Here is a 19,974-nt window from a genome sequence, read left to right as displayed (position 1 = left end):
GAACACTCTGATTGTATTGACATGCTTTTTGGTTTTAAATTGGAGTTGCTGTTAAGTTGTTGCTTAAGGAGCAACTTCTACAAATGTTGTGTCTATGAAGCTTATATTCCCTGAAACAGTATAGAATGTGGATCTGAAACATCCCATGGCATGAATGCTACTTCAGTTTGCTGATCTTCCTCTTAACTGCTGAACTGGATTTCCTTGTGTTGACATCTCTAGCCCAAAGGTCTTGAGGTGCTGGGGAGTGAGCAGTGCTGAGAAGCCAGCAGAAAGGGGGCTCCAGTTGGCAGCATTGTCTTTCTTCCTTCCCTGTGAGCCCCATGCAGCAGCCAGTGGGTCCCTGTCCCTGGTTCCCCAGGGTGAGGCCAGCTGGAGGACCACACCTGCCACTTATGTGGAATCTTCCTCTGTGGAGGGTCGGAGATCTTTGCTTGGCAGAGCTGAGTTCGCCAGGGTCCCTGTCTGCACCATCTCTGTCAGCTAGTCTCAACGCTGGGACCATGGTTGTGGGGGGACAGTGACCACACTTGCTGTCTACTATGGTAATTAAGGTAAAAATGGGAATCAAATGGGGATGTATTTGATTCTGCTATAATGCTTATGGTTCTTTCTAATTCTTAAATAATATTATGAAATATTTAAAATATACAGAAAAGGAGGCTGGGCATGGTGGCTCATGCCTGTAATCCTAGCACTTTGGGAGATGAAGGCAGGTTGATCACCTGAGGTCAGGAGTTTGAGACCAGCCTGGCTAACATGGTGAAACCCTATCTCTATGAAAAACACAAAAATTAGCCGGGCGTGTTGGTGCACACCTGTCGTCCCAGCTATTCCGGAGGCTGAGGCAGGAGAATTGCTTGAACCCAGGAGGTGGAGGTTGCAGTGAGTCAAGTGAGACTCTGTCTCAAAAAAATAAAATATACAGAAAAGTGAAAAGGATATGAGAACAGACATCAGTATATCCATCAACCACTCATCTTGATCAAATTCTGATGTCTTGGTCTACATGCTTTCCATATTTTTACAACAATAAAGCATAACAAATACAGTGGAAGCTCTTTGTTACTTTTTCATCTTGGGTTTTAGCAGTTGTTTATAAATTCTAGAATCTGAGCCTTGACAGTTACATGTGGTACAGGTATCATTTTCCAAACTGTAAGTTATCTTTCTATTTATCCCATCTTTTGTTGAATAAAAGTTTTAGTTTTCTTTTTTCTTTTCTTTTTTTTTTTTGAGATGGAGTTTTGCTCTGTCGCCCAGGCTGGAGTGCAATGGCGCCATCTCTGCTCACTGTAACCACTGCCTCCTGGGTTCAAGCCTGCCCCTGCCTCCCGAGTAGCTGGGACTGCAGGCACAGGCCACCACGTCCAACTCATTTTTGTGTTTTTAGTAGAGACAAGGTTTCTCCATGTTGGCCAGGCTGGTCTCGAACTCCTGACCTCGTGATCCGCCTACCTCAGCCTCCCAAAGTGCTGGGATTACAGATGTGAGCCACCACGCCCGGCTTAATTTTCTTATAATCCGAATTATCATCTGCTGGTTTGGAAGCAATACATATTAATATTCATTTTAGTATCCATTCTTATTCTTAATAATTCTTTTGTTTGAATGATTTTATTTAAAAATTTGTTATTTAGTATTTCTAACTTCTTTAACAAAGGAACTTGTTGAATAACTCCCATTTTAGTCTTTTTATCTAAAAACAATATTGTTAAACACAGAAATTATATTATTTTAATATGGCTATTTTCCTTTTTTTTTTTTTTTTTGAGACAGACAGGATCATGCACTGGCATGACCTCAGCTCACTGCAGCCTCAACCTCCCTCAGCTCAAGTGATCCTCCCACTTTAGCCTCCCCAGTAGCTGGGACTACAGATGCGAGCCCCCACGTCCTGCTAATTTTTCTGCTTTTTGTACAAAAAGTGCAAGAAGAGATGGGGTTTTGATATGTTGCCCAGGCTTGTCTTTAACTCCTGGGCTCAAGCAATCTTTCTGCCTCGGCCTCCCAAAATGCTGGTATTATAGGTGTGAGCCACTGTGCCCAGCTAACTATTTTTTATTGTTAATTAAATTTAGTGATGTTTTATTCATCCCTGTGCTTAGCATTGTATTTTGAATCCCACAACTTCTCTCTTGGTTTATTTTACTTTGGACTGAAATACAACTTTGTAATTGATCTTTTTTTTTTCTTTTAGAGACAGACTCTCACTCTGTTGCCCAGATTGAAGTGCAGTGGTATGATTATAGCTTATGCAGCCTCGAACTCCTGGACTCAAGTGATCCTCCTGCCTCAGCCTCCAGAGTAGCTGGGACTACAAGGACCTGTTACTACACCCGTCTACCTTTAAAAATTTTTTTTGTAGTGAAGGGGTCTTGCTATGTTGCTGAAGCTGGTCTCGAACTCCTGGCCTCAAACAATCTACCCACCTTGTAATCGTGTTTTTTATTTTCTGATGCTTTTACATCTCTGGACATTGCTAACCCTGGAGGGACTGCCCCTCCCAGGGCCAACCAATTTGTAGAGTTAGTAAACAACTCCCCCGAGAATAGGCTTTCTGTATGCAAACCAACCAATGAAGAGCCCATTTCCCAATCACAGGCCCTAATCACCCTATGGCCCGGTACCAGATAATTCAGGACATTTCCATTCCCCATGAGGATTAAAAGCCTGCTGAAACCATTCAAGCTAGCCACTCGTAAGCCTGCTTCCCCTCCTTTGTCCTTTTCTTCCCATAGAAACTGTAATAAAAAGGCTCTTACCCACATTTCCTCCTCACTCCCTCTGCCCCTGACCCACCGTGCCATGCCTGGCATGTGGTACCTCCAGTTTCTATCTAGCTATGAGTAAAACAAACTTCTTTCTTCATGACAGCCATTTCTGTGTTTGTGTGTCTTACCACACCTGATTAAAGCAAAACCCAGTGGCCCTTAAAACAAACCATGCCTTTAGTGAGAATCTATCGGTGGTGAGCCCTCTTAGTTTTTTGGTTATAAAAACTTTTATTACTCCTCATAAATGATAGTTTATGTGGCATAAAATTCTAAGTTGACAGTTTTTTTACCCTCAGTCCTTTGGAAGCTGTTCCTCCATTTTCTTGGCTCTCATTTTGCTGATGAAAAGTCTTCCATCAGTTTAGTTGTTGCGCTCTTAGCAATTTATATTTCCTTTCTGGTAGCTTTTAACATTTTATTTTATTTTATTATCTTTTATTATACTTTAAGTTTTAGGGTACATGTGCACAATGTGCAGGTTTGTTACATATGTATACATGTCCCATGTTGGTGTGCTGCACCTATTAACTCGTCATTTAACATTAGGTATATCTCCTAATGCTATCCCTCCCCCTTCCCCCGACCCGACAACAGGCCCATGTGTGAAATGTTCCCCTTCCTGTGTCCATGTGTTCTCACTGTTCAATTCCCACCTATGAGTGAGAACATGTGGTGTTTGGTTTTTTGTCCTTGCGATAGTTTGCTGAGAATGATGGTTTCCAGCTTCATCCATGTCCCTACAAAGGACATGAACTCATCATTTTTTGTGGCTGCATAGTATTCCGTGATGTATATGTGACACATTTTCTTAATCCAGTCTATCATTGTTGGACATTTGGGTTGGTTCCAAGTCTTTGCTATTGTGAACAGTGCCGCAATAAGCATACGTGTGCATGTGTCTTTATAGCAGCATGATTTATAATCCTTTGGGTATATACCCAGTAATAGGATGGCTGGGTCAAATGGTATTTCTAGTTCTAGACCCCTGAGGAATCGCCACACTGACTTCCACAATGGTTGAACTAGTTTACAGTCCCACCAACAGTGTAAAATGTTCCTATTTCTCCACATCCTCTCCAGCACCTGTTGTTTCCTGACTTTTTAATGATCGCCATTCTAACTGGTGTGAGATAGTATCTCATTGTGGTTTTGATTTGCATTTCTCTGATGGCCAGTGATGATGAGCATATTTTCATGTGTCTTTTGGCTGCATAAATGTCTTCTTTTGAGAAGTGTCTGTTCATATCCTTTGCCCACTTTTTGATGGGGTTGTTTGTTTTTTTCTTGTAAATTTGTTTGAGTTCATTGTAGATTCTGGATATTAGCCCTTTGTCAGATGAGTAGATTGCAAAAATTTTCTCCTATTCTGTAGGTTGCCTGTTCACTCTGATGGTAGTTTCTTTTGCTGCGCAGAAGCTCTTTAGTTTAATTGGATCCCATTTGTCAATTTTGGCTTTTGTTGCCATTGCTTTTGGTGTTTTAGTCATGAAGTCCTTGCCCATGCCTATGGCCTGAATGGTATTGCCTAGGTTTTCTTCTAGGATTTTTATGGTTTTAGGTCTAACATTTAAGTCTTTAATCCATCTTGAATTAATTTTTGTATAAGGTGTAAGGAAGGGATCCAGTTTCAGCTTTCTCCATATGGCTAGCCAGTTTTCCCAGCACCATTTATTAAATAGGGAATCCTTTCCCTATTTCTTGTTTTTGTCAGGTTTGTCAAAGATCAGACAGTTGTAGATATGTGGCATTATTTCTGAGGGCTCTGTTCTGTTCCATTGGTCTATATCTCTGTTTTGGTACCAGTACCATGCTGTTTTGGTTACTGTAGCCTTGCAGTACAGTTTGAAGTCAGGTAGCATGATGCCTCCAGCTTTGTTCTTTTGGCTTAGGATTGACTTGGCAATGCGGGCTCTTTTTTGGTTCCATATGAGCTTTAAAGTAGTTTTTTCCAATTCTGTGAAAAAAGTCATTGGTAGCTTGATGGGGATGGCATTGAATCTTTAAATTACCTTGGGCAGTATGGTCATTTTCAACTACCCATGAGCATGGAATGTTCTTCCATTTGTTTGTATCCTCTTTTATTTCATTGAGCAGTGGTTTGTAGTTCTCCTTGAAGAGGTCCTTCACATCCCTTGTAAGGTGGATTCCTAGGTATTTTATTCTCTTTGAAGCAATTGTGAATGGGAGTTCACTCCTGATTTGGCTCTCTGTTTGTCTGTTATTGGTGTATAGGAATGCTTGTGATTTTTGTACATTGACTTTGTATCCTGAGACTTTCCTGAAGTTGCTTATCAGCTTAAGGAGATTTTGGGCTGAGACGATGGGGTTTTCTAGATATACAATCATGTCATCTGCAAACAGGGACAGTTTGACTTCCTCTTTTCCTAATTGAATACCGTTTATTTCCTTCTCCTGCCTAATTGCCCTGGCCAGAACTTCCAACACTATGTTGAATAGGAGTGGTGAGAGAGGGCATCCCTGTCTTGTGCCAGTTTTCAAAGGGAATGCTTCCAGTTTTTGCCCATTGAGTATGATACTGGCTGTGTGTTTGTCGTAGATAGCTCTTACTATTTTGAGATATGTCCCATCAATACCTAATTTATGGAGAGTTTTTAGCACAAAGCTTGTTGAATTTTGTCAAAGGCCTTTTCTGCATCTATTGAGATAATCATGTGGTTTTTGTCATTGGTTCTTTTTATATGCTGGATTACGTTTATTGATTTGCGTATATTGAACCAGCCTTGCACCCCAGGGATGAAGCCCACTTGATCATGGTGGATAAGCTTTTTGATGTGCTGCTGGATTTGGTTTGCCGGTATTTTATTGAGGATTTTTGCATCGATGTTCATCAGGGATATTGGTCTAAAATTCTCTTTTTTTGTTGTGTCTCTGCCAGGCTTTGGTATCAGGATGATGCTGGCCTCATAAAATGAGTTAGGGAGGATTCCCTCTTTTTCTATTGATTGGAATAGTTTCAGAAGGAATGGTACCAGCTCCTCTTTGTACCTCTGGTAGAATTTGGCTGTGAATCCATCTGGTCCTGGACTTTTTTTGGTTGGTAAGCTATTAATTATTGCCTCAATTTCAGAGCCTGTTATTGGTCTATTCAGAGATTCAGCTTCTTCCTGGTTTAGTCTTGGGAGGGTGTTTGTGTCTAGGAATTTATTCATTTCTTCTAGATTTTCTAGTTTATTTGTGTAGAGGTGTTTATAGTATTCTCTGATGGTAGTTTTTATTTCTGTGGGATCGGTGGTGATATCTGCTTTATCATTTTTTATTGTGTCTATTTGATTCTTCTCTCTTTTCTTCTTTATTAGTCTTGCTAGCGGTCTACCAATTTTGTTGATCTTTTCAAAAAACCAGCTCCTGGATTCACTGATTTTTTGAAGGGTTTTTGTGTCCCTATTTCCTTCAGTTCTGCTCTGATCTTAGTTATTTCTTGCCTTCTGCTAGCTTTTGAATGTGTTTGCTCTTGGTTTTCTAGTTCTTTTAATGGTGATGTTAGGGTGTCAATTTTGGATCTTTCCTGCTTTCTCTTGTGTGCCGTAGTGCTATAAATTTCCCTCTACACACTGCTTTGAATGTGTCCTAGAGATTCTGGTATGTTCGTATCTTTATTCTCATTGGTTTCAAAGAACATCTTTATTTCTGCCTTCATTTCGTTATGTACCCAGCAGTCATTCAGGAGCAGGTTGTTCAGTTTCCATGCAGTTGACTGGCTTTGAGTGAGTTTCTTAATCCTGAGTTCTAGTTTCATTGCACTGTGGTCTGAGAGACAGTTTGTTGTAATTTCTGTTCTTTTACATTTGCTGAGGAGTGCTTTACTTCCAACTATGTGGTCAGTTTTGGAACAGGTGTGGTGTGGTCCTGAAAAGAATGTATATTCTGTTGCTTTGGGGTGGAGAGTTCTGTAGATGTCTATTAGGTCCACTTGGTGCAGAGCTGAGTTCAATTCCTGGATATCCTTGTTAACTTTCTGTCTCGTTGAACTGTCTAATGTTGACAGTGGGGTGTTAAAATCTCCCATTATTATTGTGTGGGAGTCTAAGTCTCTTTGTAGGTCTCTAAGGACTTGCTTTATGAATCTGGGTGCTCCTGTATTGGGTGCATATATATTTAGGATAGTTAGCTCTTCTTGTTTAATTGATCCCTTTACCATTATGTAATGGCCTTCTTTGTCTCTTTTGATCTGTGTTGGTTTAAAGTCTGTTTTATCAGAGACTAGGATTGCAACCCCTGCCTTTTTTTGTTTTCCATTTGCTTGGTAGATCTTCCTCCATCCCTTTATTTTGAGCCTATGTGTGTCTCTGCACATGAGATGGGTTTCCTGAATACAGCACACTGATGGGTCTTGACTCTTTATCCAATTTGCCAGTCTGTGTCTTTTAATTGGAGCATTTAGTTCATTTACATTTAAGGTTAATATTGTTATGTGTGAATTTGATCCTGTCATTATGATGTTAGCTGGTTATTTTGCTCGTTAGTTGATGCAGTTTCTTCCTAGCCTTGATGGTCTTTACAATTTGGCATGTTTTTGCCGTGGCTGGTACTGAGTGTTCCTTTCCATGTTTAGTGCTTCCTTCAGGAGCTCTTGTAGGGCAGGCCTGGTGGTGACAAAATCTCTCAGCATTTGCTTGTCTGTAAAGTATTTTATTTCTCCTTCACTTATGAAGCTTAGTTTGGCTGGATATGAAATTCTGGGTTGAAAATTCTTTTCTTTAAGAATGTTGAATATTGGCCCCCACTCTCTTCTGGCTTGTAGAGTTTCTGCCGAGAGATCAGCTGTTAGTCTGATGGGCTTCCCTTTGTGGGTAACCCGAGGTTTCTCTCTGGCTGCCCTTAACATTTTTTCCTTCATTTCAACTTTGGTGAATCTGACAATTATGTGTCTTGGAGTTGCTCTTCTCGAGGAGTATCTTTGTGGTGTTCTCTGTATTTCCTGAATCTGAATGTTGGCCTGCCTTGGTAGGTTGGGAAAGTTCTCCTGGATAATAACCTGCAGAGTGTTTTCCAACTTGGTTCCATTCTCCCCGTCACTTTCAGGTACACCAATCAGACGTAGATTTGGTCTTTTCACATAGTCCAATATTTCCTGGAGGCTTTGTTCATTTCTTTTTATTCTTTTTTCTCTAAACTTCTCTTCTCGCTTCATTTCATTCATTTGATCTTCCATCACGATACCCTTTCTTCCAGTTGATCGAATCGGTTATTGAGGCTTGTGCATTCGTCACGTATTTCTTGTGCCATGGTTTTCAGCTCCATCAGGTCCTTTAAGGACTTCTCTGCATTGGTTATTCTAGTTAGCCATTCGTCTAATATTTTTTCAAGGTTTTTAACTTCTTTGCCATGGGTTAGAACTTCCTCCTTTAGCTCGGAGTAGTTTGATCATCTGAAGCCTTCTTCTCTCAACTTGTCAAAGTCATTCTCCATCCAGCTTTGTTCCATTGCTGGTGAGGAGCTGCGTTCCTTTGGAGGAGGAGAGGTGCTCTGATTTTTAGAATTTTCAGTTTTTCTGCTCTGTTTTTTCCCCATCTTTGTGGTTTTATCTACCTTTGGACTTTGATGATGGTGACGTACAGATGGGGTTTTGGTGTGGATGTCCTTTCTATTTGTTAGTTGTCCTTCTAACAGTCAGGACCCTCAGCTGCAGGTCTGTTGGAGTTTGCTGGAGGTCCACTCCAGACCCTGTTTGCCTGGGTATCAGCAGTGGAGGCTGCAGAACAGCGGATATTGGTGAACAGCAAATGCTGCCTGATCGTTCCTCTGGAAGTTTTGTCTCAGAGGAGTACCCGGTCGTGTGAGGTGTCAGTCTGCCCCTACTTAGGGGTGCCTCCCAGTTAGGCTACTCGGGGGTCAGGGACCCACTTGAGGAGGCAGTCTGTCCATTGTCAGATCTCCAGCTGCGTGCTGGGAGAACCACTACTCTCTTCAAAGCTGTCAGACAGGGACATTTAAGCCTGCAGAGGTTACTGCTGCCTTTTATTTGGCTATGCCATGCCCCCAGAGGTGGAGTCTACAGAGGTAGGCAGGCCTCCTTCAGCTGCGGGGGGCTCCACCCAGTTTGAGCTTCCTGGCCGCTTTGTTTACCTACTCAACCCTCAGCAATGGCGGGCACCCCTCCCCCAGACTTGCTGCGGCCTTGCAGTTTGATCTCACACTGCTGTGCTAGCAATGAGCAAGGCTCCGTGGGCATAGCACCCTCCGAGCCAGGCACAGGATACAATCTCCTGGTGTGCTGTTTGCTAAGACCATTGGAAAAACACAGTATTAGGGTGGGAGTGACCCGATTTTCCAGGTGCTGTCTGTCACCCCTTTTCTTGGCTAGAAAAGGGAATTCCCTGACCTCTTGTGCTTCCCAGGTAAGGCGATGCCTCGCCCTGCTTCGGCTCACGCTGGGTGTGCTGCACCCACTGTCCAACAATCCACAGTGAGATGAACCCAGTACTTCAGTTGGAAATGCAGAAATGATTCGTCTTCTGCATCGCTCACGCTGGGAGCTGTAGATTGGAGCTGTTCCTATTCGGCCATCTTCTTTATTATTATTTTTTTGCGATGGAGTCTCGCTCTGTCACCCAGGCTGGAGTGCAGTGGTGTGATCTCGGCTCACTGCAACCTCTGCCTCCTGGAGTAGCTCTTCTCATGCCTCAGCCTCCCAGTAGCTGGGACTACAGGTGCCCGCCACCATGCCCCGCTAATTTTTGTATTTTTAGTAGAGATGGGGTTTCACCATGTTGGCCAGGCTGGTCTGGAACTCCTGACCTCAAATCATCAACCCACCTTGACCTCCTGAAGTGCTGGGATTACAGGCGTGAGCCACCACACCTGGCCTAACATTTCCTTTTTTACCCTTGATGTTCTTCAGTTTTGTTACAGATTCTCTAGGTGTAGATTTATCTTTCTTTGTCCTGGCTCCGTATTCATAGTGTACTCTGAGAACCCTTTCCTCAATTCTATATTTGTTTAAGCTATTATCTCTTCAAATACGTATTTTTTGCTATTTTTCTCATTCCCTGCTTCTGTAACCCTTGTTAGATAGGTGTTAGAACATTTCAAAGTAGACGTCAGGTCTCATAGCTGTTTTTTTCAAATGAATCTTTTATTTTCTGTGTCTCTGTGTCTTGTCATGGGTGAATTCTCCAGGACTATCTTCCAATTCATTCATGTTTTCCTTTATTAGTTTCTATATAGAATTTATCCTATCTAGTGAGTTTTAAAAAATGTCAATGACTATACTTTTCTAAGATTTTGAAATTGTTCATATGTCCTTGATATCTCTCATTGTAGTATACATTCTTCATTTCTGCCTATTTAAAAGTATTTTATTTTTCATGGATGTTGCTTAAAAAATCTCTTGGTGCAGCTTATAATAATTGTGAAGCATTTGTCAGATTGTTTTATAAACCTAATTTTGTCTGGAGTGAGCTCATGTTCCAACGAGGTTGACCTTGTTGGCCGTCTTTTTCAGTACTTGCATTCTCCCTTATATTTGGAATGTTGATTTGCTGGCTTATTTAGAGTAGGGTGTTTTAGGCCTTTTGTGTTGTTTTGTTTCTCATCTCTCTCCTGCCTTGTGCATCAGTTTTTCGTTTTTGTGGTTGTCTTTACTAAGCCTCATCTAATCTCATTTGGACTAAACATTATAATGAAGTTTTATGGATTCTCTTCTGTGGTGATGCTAGACAGATGCTAGGCCCAGGCAAGAAGCCAGCAGGTGATCTTGATTAAGTTCTTTATCTAGCCTCCTCTTTAAGTCCAGAACCTCAAATAAACCAGTGTTCCAGGTAGTAGGTCAGAGTTTGTTTTTGCCATATTTCCTGACCAGTAGATCCACATCCCAACACTGGTTTTAAGCAGAGAAACTGCTGCAAGCCCTCTGCCTCACGTGGGATATTTTTAGTCCTATTACCCTGTGAAAGCCAAGCTCCTGGGTTCCTTCCCTGCCCTGGAGCCAGTGCTCAGGATCCTTGCAGCTTCTCTACTGCCACTCCTGTGTCGGGGCTCTCCCTGCACCACCTCACTCAGTTCCCACCACAGCCTTATGAAGAAGCACCTGAGTCCAGAGGCAGCGTGGCTTAGGGGCTCAGTATACGAACTCTAGACCCAAGTGGCTGGGTGTGAATCCCAGCTGTGTGATCTTAGGAAAGTTACTTGACTTGTCTGACCTGTCAGAAATTGCACTTCTGTCCTGTTTCTGGCCCCGAAGATAGATAGATATATATATATATATATATATATATATATATATATATATTTTTTTTTTTTTTTTTTTTTTTTTTTTTTTTGAGATGGAGTCTTGCTCTGTCACTCAGGCTGGCATGCAGTGGGGTGATTTTGGCTCACTCCAACCTCTGCCTCCTGGGCTTAAGCGATTCTCGTGCATCAGCCTCCTGAGTAGCTGGGACTACAGGCATGCGCCACCATGCCCGGCTAATTTTTGTATTTTTAGGAGAGATGGGGTTTCACCATGTTGGCCAGGCTAATCTCAAACTCTTGACCTCAACTGATCCATTTGCCTCAGGCTCCCAAAGTACTGGGATTACATGGGTGAGCCACTGTGCCCAGCCAAGTTCCAAGAGAAAATATCTGATTGGCAATTTTTTGGGGCTATCCATGTCTTTCTTGGGTTAACTTGATTGACAGTTTACCCAAGACTGTGTACAATGAATGGGGGAGGAGCCTCCAAATAAAACTGGGGTATGGTTTCCAGAAGAAGGGGATTTGGATGTTGAGCAGAACACCTGTGGAGGCCCATGCTACTTTGCTACTGGGTAGGTGTGAGAACAATAATAGCAGCTGATATTTATCAAGTAATTTCAATTCCTTACCAGGGGGCCACCATTATTTTCCATCCCTTCCACCTAACCCTCACTATACCTTATGAGGCATGTCTTTACTTCTATGCTACTGATTAATATGTTGAGGTTCAGACAGGTCAAGTAACTTTCCTAAGGTCACACAGCTGGGATTCACACCTGGCTGGTTGGGTCTAGAGTTCGTATACTGAGCCCCTAAGCCATGCTGCCTCTGGACTGAGGTGCTTCTTCATAAGGCTGTGGTGGGAACTGAGTGAGGCAGTGCAGGCAGAGCCCCGACACAGTGCTTGGTCCTTGGTGGTGGCTCAGTGCCTGCCAGGTCAGTCAATGTGGGTCTGTTGGGGCTCACTGGCTTTTCTCCATAGATGGGGGGAGGGAGAGAATGATGTGAGCTGTTTTCTCTTTAAATACCCAAGGAAATTTCCAGCATAACAAGAAAGAATTCTCAAAATTTGGAGGCTGGGGCGGAACTCCATTACACATTATCTGCCTCTGCGTTCTGTCACCTCTCTCTTCAGCTGAAGTGTAAGATGAAAACACCTTGCTGTCACCTCCTTCTCAGGACTGCTGGGCCCAGAAGGAAAGGCCAAAAAAAAAAATGCTGCTGCTTTATTGTAGATGATCCTAAAAACCAAACTTCATGTTTTTCCTGGTGGAAAAGCAATGTATGTCCTTTGAGTAAAAATGAGAACCTAAACAAAAGAAGCCGGGATGATGGTCGCTCACATTTACTGCTGGCTTAACCGTGTGCCAGTGGGCTCAGCTCCTTACAGCATTTCATTTTATCCTCATAATAGCCTCAGGAGGGACATGTTATTGCCACCCCCATTTTATAGGTGAGAAAACTGAGAATGAGAGGCTGAGTACGTTTTCAATACTACAAACAGCAAGAGGGGAGTGGGCATTCACATCCCGGCTCTGCATCCCCACCCCTGAGCTGTGTATATTGTGTGGTTGACAAAGAAGACAGCAGTCTTTTCTTTTTCCTATGCCCCCGTTCCATAAAATGACACACATACTTCCATTCGAGCAACCCTCAAAGTGTTTGCTCACACATAGGCGTGCCCAAGGTTGTCTTCTGCAATAAAGGGATTTGGGGCGCTTTTTTGCTGGGATCTTAGAGCCTGTTGAAATGTGTGCTTTGAAGGACATAGCAGCCGTCCGTGCAGCACAATGGGAGGGGCCATAACTCATATAACATGCAAGTCAAGCTGTTTGGAAAATGGCAACAGTCACTTTGACAAACTGAACAACATATTGGAAAAGGGGGCTATTTTCCCAAATATTTCACAGTTACAATTTTTTTTTTCAGGACAACCTCTACAATTTAGATGTCTGTACTTTGGCTAAAAGCCCTTACATGTTCTAGCACCTTCCCCACGTCGCATGAAGTGAATCTGTGTGTTCTTGGCTCCTCGACTGCCTCTCTTTTGCTTATCAGCACTCTGCTTGCCCATCTCAGCTTCATCTGAGTCATGTAGACCTGGGTTTGAGCCCTGACTCTGCCCCCAGCCAGCCTTGGGGCCATGGGCAAGTGACTTCACTCTCTGAAACACAGTTTTAAAAGTCTGGATAGCAAGGCCTGTTAGCTCACAGGTTGCCGAGAACTCATGAACATCCATGACGGCCATGCCATGGTTTCCTCGCTTACAGCAGGTAACAGGGTGAAGTTTCCAGAACTGTGGTCTATGTCTGCCTGGAATCAAACACAGGGAGGCATTAACTGCTGGAGGAGAAAACAGGAAAGTGTTTACTCCTGAAAAGGGGGAGGAGGCAGAGCCCTGGGGAATGGGGAGAAGGAGGGAAGGGCTGGGCTGGGGTGGGTGAGACAGAGAAGAGCCTGGGGGTGAGGGGGCAAATGCGGAGCTAAAGCCATCAGCTACTGCAGCGGGGTGTGGGGGACTCAAGTCCCGGACTAGAGCTGGGTGTGCCAGGAGCTGCAGGGAGCCACCCCTTTCCTGTGTGAGAGGAGGCCCACTTAATCCTGCTGGGCACCCACTGTTGAGTTTAGTGGCTGATGTAGCAAAAAACATTTCAGTTCTGATTACAAGTGATAAGAAGTCTAACTTACACTGGCCTAAGAAAAGCTGATTGCTGTGGCCTGGGCGATGTGCTCTGACTGTTTGGACACGAGTTTCAGCTGCAACAAGGCAAGGTGTGGAGTCCAGGGGACCACATAGACTGAGAGTGGGGAGAGGCAGGGAGGCAGTGACAACAGCAGCCCCTGTCCACCACAGTGGCCAAAAGAGACAGCCATGTCTTCCCTGCTCCACAGTGACAAGGCTCTTCCAGCCACCAGAACCTGAGGGAGACAGTTTTCCCAGCCGGTCAACTGATAATCCCCGAGAGAGATGCCATGGAAATGTCTGCAACAGTTTGTACTAAGCACTCTTCCCCGAGACATTCAAACATTTTCCAACATGTTTTATTAAGTAAGAATGCCACACTGGCCCTCGAGCAACTGTTGGGTGTTGTGTCCAGGGCTGGCAGGATGGAGCATTGATTGCCATCCTTTGTTAACTGTGTGTTTGTTGAGGGCTCACTATGGGACAAGTGCTATGGTGGGCTCTAGGGTAGGAGGCACAAAGACGTGGGGCGTGGGGGAGGTGACATGCTGCTGCTTTGAGGAGCTCTATGACCCTCCCAAGACACACAGACACACACACACAGACACACACACACACACACACACACACAGACACACACACACACACACACACACACAGATATAGGGTGCCAGGCATTCATCAGAGCCTATGCAGAGCAAGGCTGCAGGGAACCAGAGAGGGGAGCCCACCGTTCTGCTGGGAGAGAAGGGAGAAGGGGAAAGATTATGGTAGGAGTTGCTGCTTGAGTTGGGCAGCATTTACCAGGTGGAGAAGGGGATGCCAGGAGGGCAGAGGCCTGTAAATGTGAAAGGCCTGCTTTGCTAATCACTTAGGGCTGTGGGGTGGGCAGTGGGCCAGGGAACAGGTGAGTGAGGCTCAGATCGTAAAGGGTCTCTTATGCCTGGCTGAAGAGTTTAAATTTTCTCCTGAAACCACACAGGAGTGTCTCAGTCAAGGTTTATAGCTGTGAGCAACAGAGCTGGTTCTGGCTGAGATGGGCTCAAAAGGAATTGTTTGAGAGGAAACCAGGATCTCAAGGACTGGCCTAGAAGGCTGGAGAAGCAGGCTGGATAAAATACAGGGACACAAGGAGAGGCTCTGAAGCCAGAGGTTCAGGCCGTGTCATACCACAAAACCAGGCCTGGAAGGAGCCCATGGTCATGCTGCCGAGGCCAGAAACGGCAGCTTACCCCATTAACCTTGCTAGATGCTGGATGTCGTAGCTGGCATGATTGCCCTGGCTGACCCCAGAAGCTGGATGTAGCTGCCGCTGCCAGAGCCACAGAACACATCATTCCTTCTCTTACCATCCTTTTGCCACAAGCCCTAGAGTTGAGGTCTAGGGCCAGTGCATTCCCCTGGTGGAGCATGGGTTACTTGCTCATGTCAAGACTCTGTTTCCACCAAGACTCACAGTGTGGAGAGGTCCCCAAATATAACATGACAATGGAAAGCCAAAAAATAAATGCACAGGGAAGAAACGGGCAGATCAATGCTTGGGAAAGATGATTTTAGCAGCCATGTGGCGAGTGGTTTGCAGGAGGAGATAATGGAGACAGAGTAACGAGATAGGAATCCAGTTAAACAGCTTGGGGAAGAGATGCCAAATCCCAAAGCAGGGCGAAAGCACTGGCATTGTTGAGAAAAGGGCAGATCAGTTCACTTCAGAAGATGGTGGGGGCTGTCCCCAAGTTCCCAAATTGAGTAAGTAGTTCATCGATCATAACTTCAACACGGGAATACAGTTGTAGAGACTCAGAGCTGGGGAGAATCACGTTGGGTTTGCCACAGGTTGCCTGTGGGACATCTAGCTGGAGAGGTTCGGGAGATGTGGGACAATTTTTGTTTTGGGGGACTCAGCATCTATTCACCCTTATTCTGGAAACAGACCCACCATTTTCCTTTTGTGAAATGAACCCCTTTCCCACAATCTGTCCTGTCGATTTCAGTAGGGCTGAGTTCCCCTCTTCTCTAGTCCAGAAATGAGCATGTGATCCAGGCCTGGCCAACCCAGGTCACAAAGATTGGTTTGGAAATGGATACATGATCCAATCTGGGCCAATACAGTACAAGTCAGGTCCTGGGTCTTTTGTGGGAACTGTTGCAAAGGAGAAACTTTCATCCTACACGGGCTGCTAAGCTGGTGAAATGTCAGCCTGGAGCTGCTGGTGGTCCTCTTGTCACTACTTGGGGTGAGCTTGCCTGAGAACAAAGACAACAGAGAAGAAAGCAGCATCAAGAGATGGAGACAGAGTCCTGCTGTTGTCGACTGAACACTCATATTCACCTATGCCTATAGCTGGACTTTTCAGGTATACAAACCAATATATTTCCTATATTCTTAAGCCAATTGCAGCTGGCTTAAACTGCTTGAAGATGAACATTTCCTGACTTAACCATTGAGATTTGGGATCTAGCATGTAACAAAGAAATCAGGGCTGGAGAAAGATGTTGGGAAGTGGAGCTGAAGCTGTGGATATGACAATAGAGTGTGCAGGGGAGAACACATGAACAGAACCAGGAGATGGGCCAGTACTTGGGTGGTGTACAGAAATACATTTAGAAACACTTAGAACTCCAGGCACTAATACTGGTACCCTTCTTATAAAGCACTAATGTTTGTAGCAAATTGAGAAAAACTTTAAGACAGTTAAAAATACAATGAGGTCAATGGGTTTTTTTTTTTCATTTCTAAGGAAAACCACTGAGATACTATTAGATGCCTCAGAAGCATTTTCAAAACAGAGGAAAATGTACATCCCTCTGAAGACAGTTCCCAAGAAGCACACACTATTCAAATGCGGCGTGCTACCTGGCTTCCATGCCACTCCACTGCTTGCTTCAGAAAAGACAACAATCAACAAGTGGTTTAAGATATTTTTTCATTATGAATTGGGTATTTAACTCATTTAACCCATTTCCTCAGTGATGCTGAATTTCCACTGAACAGCTAAACGACTGGAACATTTTAAAGACAAGAATCAGTCAAGTCTTGGAGCTCGATCACCAGCTGCTCTGAATCTTATTTGGTGTTATTTAGGCTGTTGCCTAAGTTCTGGTGAAACCTGAGAATTTTTGCCTGAACCTGGTTCACTGTATATGGGCACTGTAGCTGGTTGTGCTTGTCATTGATTATGGTGATGGAGACTTCCTAAGGTCAGTTTTGGGAAAATTACAAAAATAGCTTGAGTCCCATTCCAGTGATGGGAAGGGATGGAGTGGGAAAGCTTAACATTGGGGTCCATCCTGTGGATATGGGCTCTGCCCCCAGTCTTGGCCACTTCTCTCCTATGTGAGTGAGCTTGGTCAGGTCCCTCACCTCCACTAAGACCCAGTTTCCCCACCTGTTAAATGGAGAAAACACTGTAGGGTGTGTAGGGCTCTTGTGAGGATTAGCAGACAGGAGTTACATCTGAGATGGTCCATGTGAGGCAGGTGACCAAGGCTAGATCATTGATGAATGCCAGCAAAGGAGCTCAATTTTTGTTTTTTATTAATTTTTGTTGTATGCTAACAAAGTAGCATGTGCTCATTGTAAAAAAATCAAACAACATAGGAGTAAAGGATTGTTTTCCTCCTGTTCTCCTACCTACTCGTCTTGCTCTCAGGTAACCCTGGGCAAGAATATTCTTCCTGGCATATTTTTGCTTGTGCAAATGAGTATGCACACACTATACACACACCAGAAAATTGTTCATGTAAATGTGATATGGACATCTTTGCAAAACCAGTACATACAATAGATGTAAACACTGCATCAGTGCCTTTAATGTTGTTCAAATAGTTTGGAGGGAGGAGGCAACTGACGTTTTTTGGTAGTTAGGTAGAATTCACATATGTACAATTCATCCATTTAAACTGTACAATTCAATGGATTTTACTATGTTCATGAACTTGTACAACCCCATCACTACAATCAATTATAGGACATTTTCATCATGTTAAAAAAAAAAGAAACACCTTATTCTTTAGCCATCATCTTCTCAGTCCCCCTTCTCCCAGTGCTGTGCAACCACTAATCCACTTTCTGTCTCCAAATGTTTGCCTATTTGGACACTTCATATGAATGGACTTATACAATACATGGTCTTCCTTTACTTAGCATGACGTTTTCAAGGTTCATGCCTGTTGTAGCATATATCAGAACTTCATTCCTTTTTATGGTGGAACAATATTCTATTGTATGGATAGACCACATTTTGCTTATTCATCAGTTGATGGACATTTGGGTTATTTCCAACTTCGGCTACTATCAATAAATGCTGCTATAAATACTTGTGTACAGCTTTTTGTGTCAGCATATGTTTTCATTTCTCTTGGGTATATACTAGGAATAGAATTGCTGGGTCAATGTTTTACTTTTTTAGGGGTTGCCAGACTGTTTTCCAAAGTGGCTGCCCATCTGACATTTCACCAGCAGTGTATGAGGGTTCTGATTTCTTTACATCCCCATCAACCAACACCTGTTGACTATTTGCTAGAACCCATCTTTGTGGGTGCGAAATTGTATGTCATTGTGGGTTTGATTTGCATTTCCCTCTAATGATGCTGAGCATCTTTTCCTGTGCTTGTCGTAATTTGTATGTCTTCTTTGGAGAAATGGTTTTCCCATTCTTAGCCTGTTTTTAAATTATTTGTCCTTTTATTATTGAGCTGTAAGAGTTCTTTATTTTAGATACAAGTACTTTATCAGATATATGATTTTTAAAAACTCATTTTGTGAGTTATTTTTTCGTTTTCTTGGTGGTGTTCTTTGAAAGACAAACATTTTTAATTTTGATGAAGTCCAATTTATCTATTTTTTCTTTTGTTTGTGTTTTGGTTTAATATATAAGAAACATTTGCCAAATACAAGGTCATGAAGATTTAACTGTAGGTTTTTTTCCTAAGAGTTTTATAATTTTGGCTCTTACATATAGGTCTTCGATCTATTTTGAGTTAATTTTTGTATATGGTGTGAGGTAGGGGTCCAACTTCATTCTTTTGCCTGTGGCTATCCAGTTGTCCCTGCACCATTTCTTGAGGCAAGTGGCTTTTGGATCTTTCTCCAAACTGAATTATCTTATTAATCCAAACAGTCTTCCAGTCAATTCCTGTTTCTTGTATCTTCCATGGCCCTCTGCTATGCTAGGGTCTGGCTTCTCTGTCAATCTAAATACAACTGCCTTATTTTTAAAACATTATTTTTGAATGGGTAATATAATATATACAAAGTTTCAAAGGTAAAAAGGATGTATAGTGAAAGATCTCCTGCTCATTGCTGTCCCTCTGCCACCCCAGGCCTCCCTGTCTAGAGGTAGCTTCTTCCTGTTTCTTGCTATTTTAAGCAGATTCAATGCATACCCATATGTTCTTTCTCATTTTTTCATAAATCATACAGTATATATATTCCTCCACACCATACTTTTTTGACCTTAGCAATATATTTTAGAGAGCTTTCCATAACAGTACTCCAAAAGTCTCTCTCATTCTTTTGACTGGACACATAGGACTCCATTGAATGAATGAACCAGGTTTTATTTAACCAGGCCCTTGTTAGTGATACAGGGCAGCTTTCAATCTTTTGTTATTACAAGCATTTCCTTGTATGCACATAAATTTTTTGAATAGATTTAGATAGTATCTTTAGGACAAATCCCTTTAGGGAGGTATAAAGATATACGCTTTAGATTTTTTTGACAATGCCAGATTGCTCTGTAGACATTTTGTCAACTTACTCTGCCTCTATCAAGCACAAGTGCCTGTTTACCACATCCTTACCAACACAGAGTCCTATAACATTTTTTGTTTTAGTATTTCCTTTTTTATTTTAATTTTTTGAGACAGAGTCTCGCTCTGCCACCCAGGGTGGAGTGCAGTGGTGCAATCTCGACTCACTGCAACCTCTGCCTCCTGGGTTCAAGCAATTCTCCCACCTTGGCCTCCTGAGTAGTTGGGATTACAGGCGTGCACCACCATGCCTAGCTAATTTTTTTGGTATTTTTAGTAGAGACAGGGTTTCACCATGTTGGTCAGGCTGGTCTCAAACTCCTGACCTCAAGTGATCCATCCACCTCTGCCTCTCAAAGTGCTGGGATTACAGGTGTGAGCTACTGCGCCTGGCCTAGTATCTCAGTTTCAATTTGCATTTATCTTATTAAGAATGAGGTTAAACATATTTTCCTCTGTTTATGTACTTTTTATGTTTCCTTTTCTGTGAATTGCCTCCTTACATTTTTGTCTTCTTTCTGTGGGCTGTTAGCCTTTTTCTTAGTGATTTGTGGGAGCTCTCTGTAG

At 43.0% G+C, this 19,974-nt stretch overlaps 1 protein-coding gene across 1 annotated transcript in view; it reads right to left on the bottom strand.

Annotated features, from left to right (window-relative positions):
• Positions 1-13,999: 13,999 nt before the first annotated feature.
• C10orf53 (chromosome 10 open reading frame 53) overlaps positions 14,000-19,974 on the bottom strand; it is a 30,611-nt gene continuing 24,636 nt past the window's right edge. The window contains exon 3 of the mRNA NM_182554.4: positions 14,000-15,900. Within this exon, the coding sequence (NP_872360.2) occupies positions 15,644-15,900 (257 nt within the window). The 3' untranslated portion in view covers positions 14,000-15,643. The remainder of the gene's footprint in view (positions 15,901-19,974) is intronic.

Source organism: Homo sapiens, chromosome 10, assembly GCF_000001405.40.
Source record: "Homo sapiens chromosome 10, GRCh38.p14 Primary Assembly".
Taxonomy (NCBI): Eukaryota; Metazoa; Chordata; class Mammalia; order Primates; family Hominidae; genus Homo; species Homo sapiens.
This window is presented reverse-complemented; position numbering and strand designations above follow the sequence as displayed.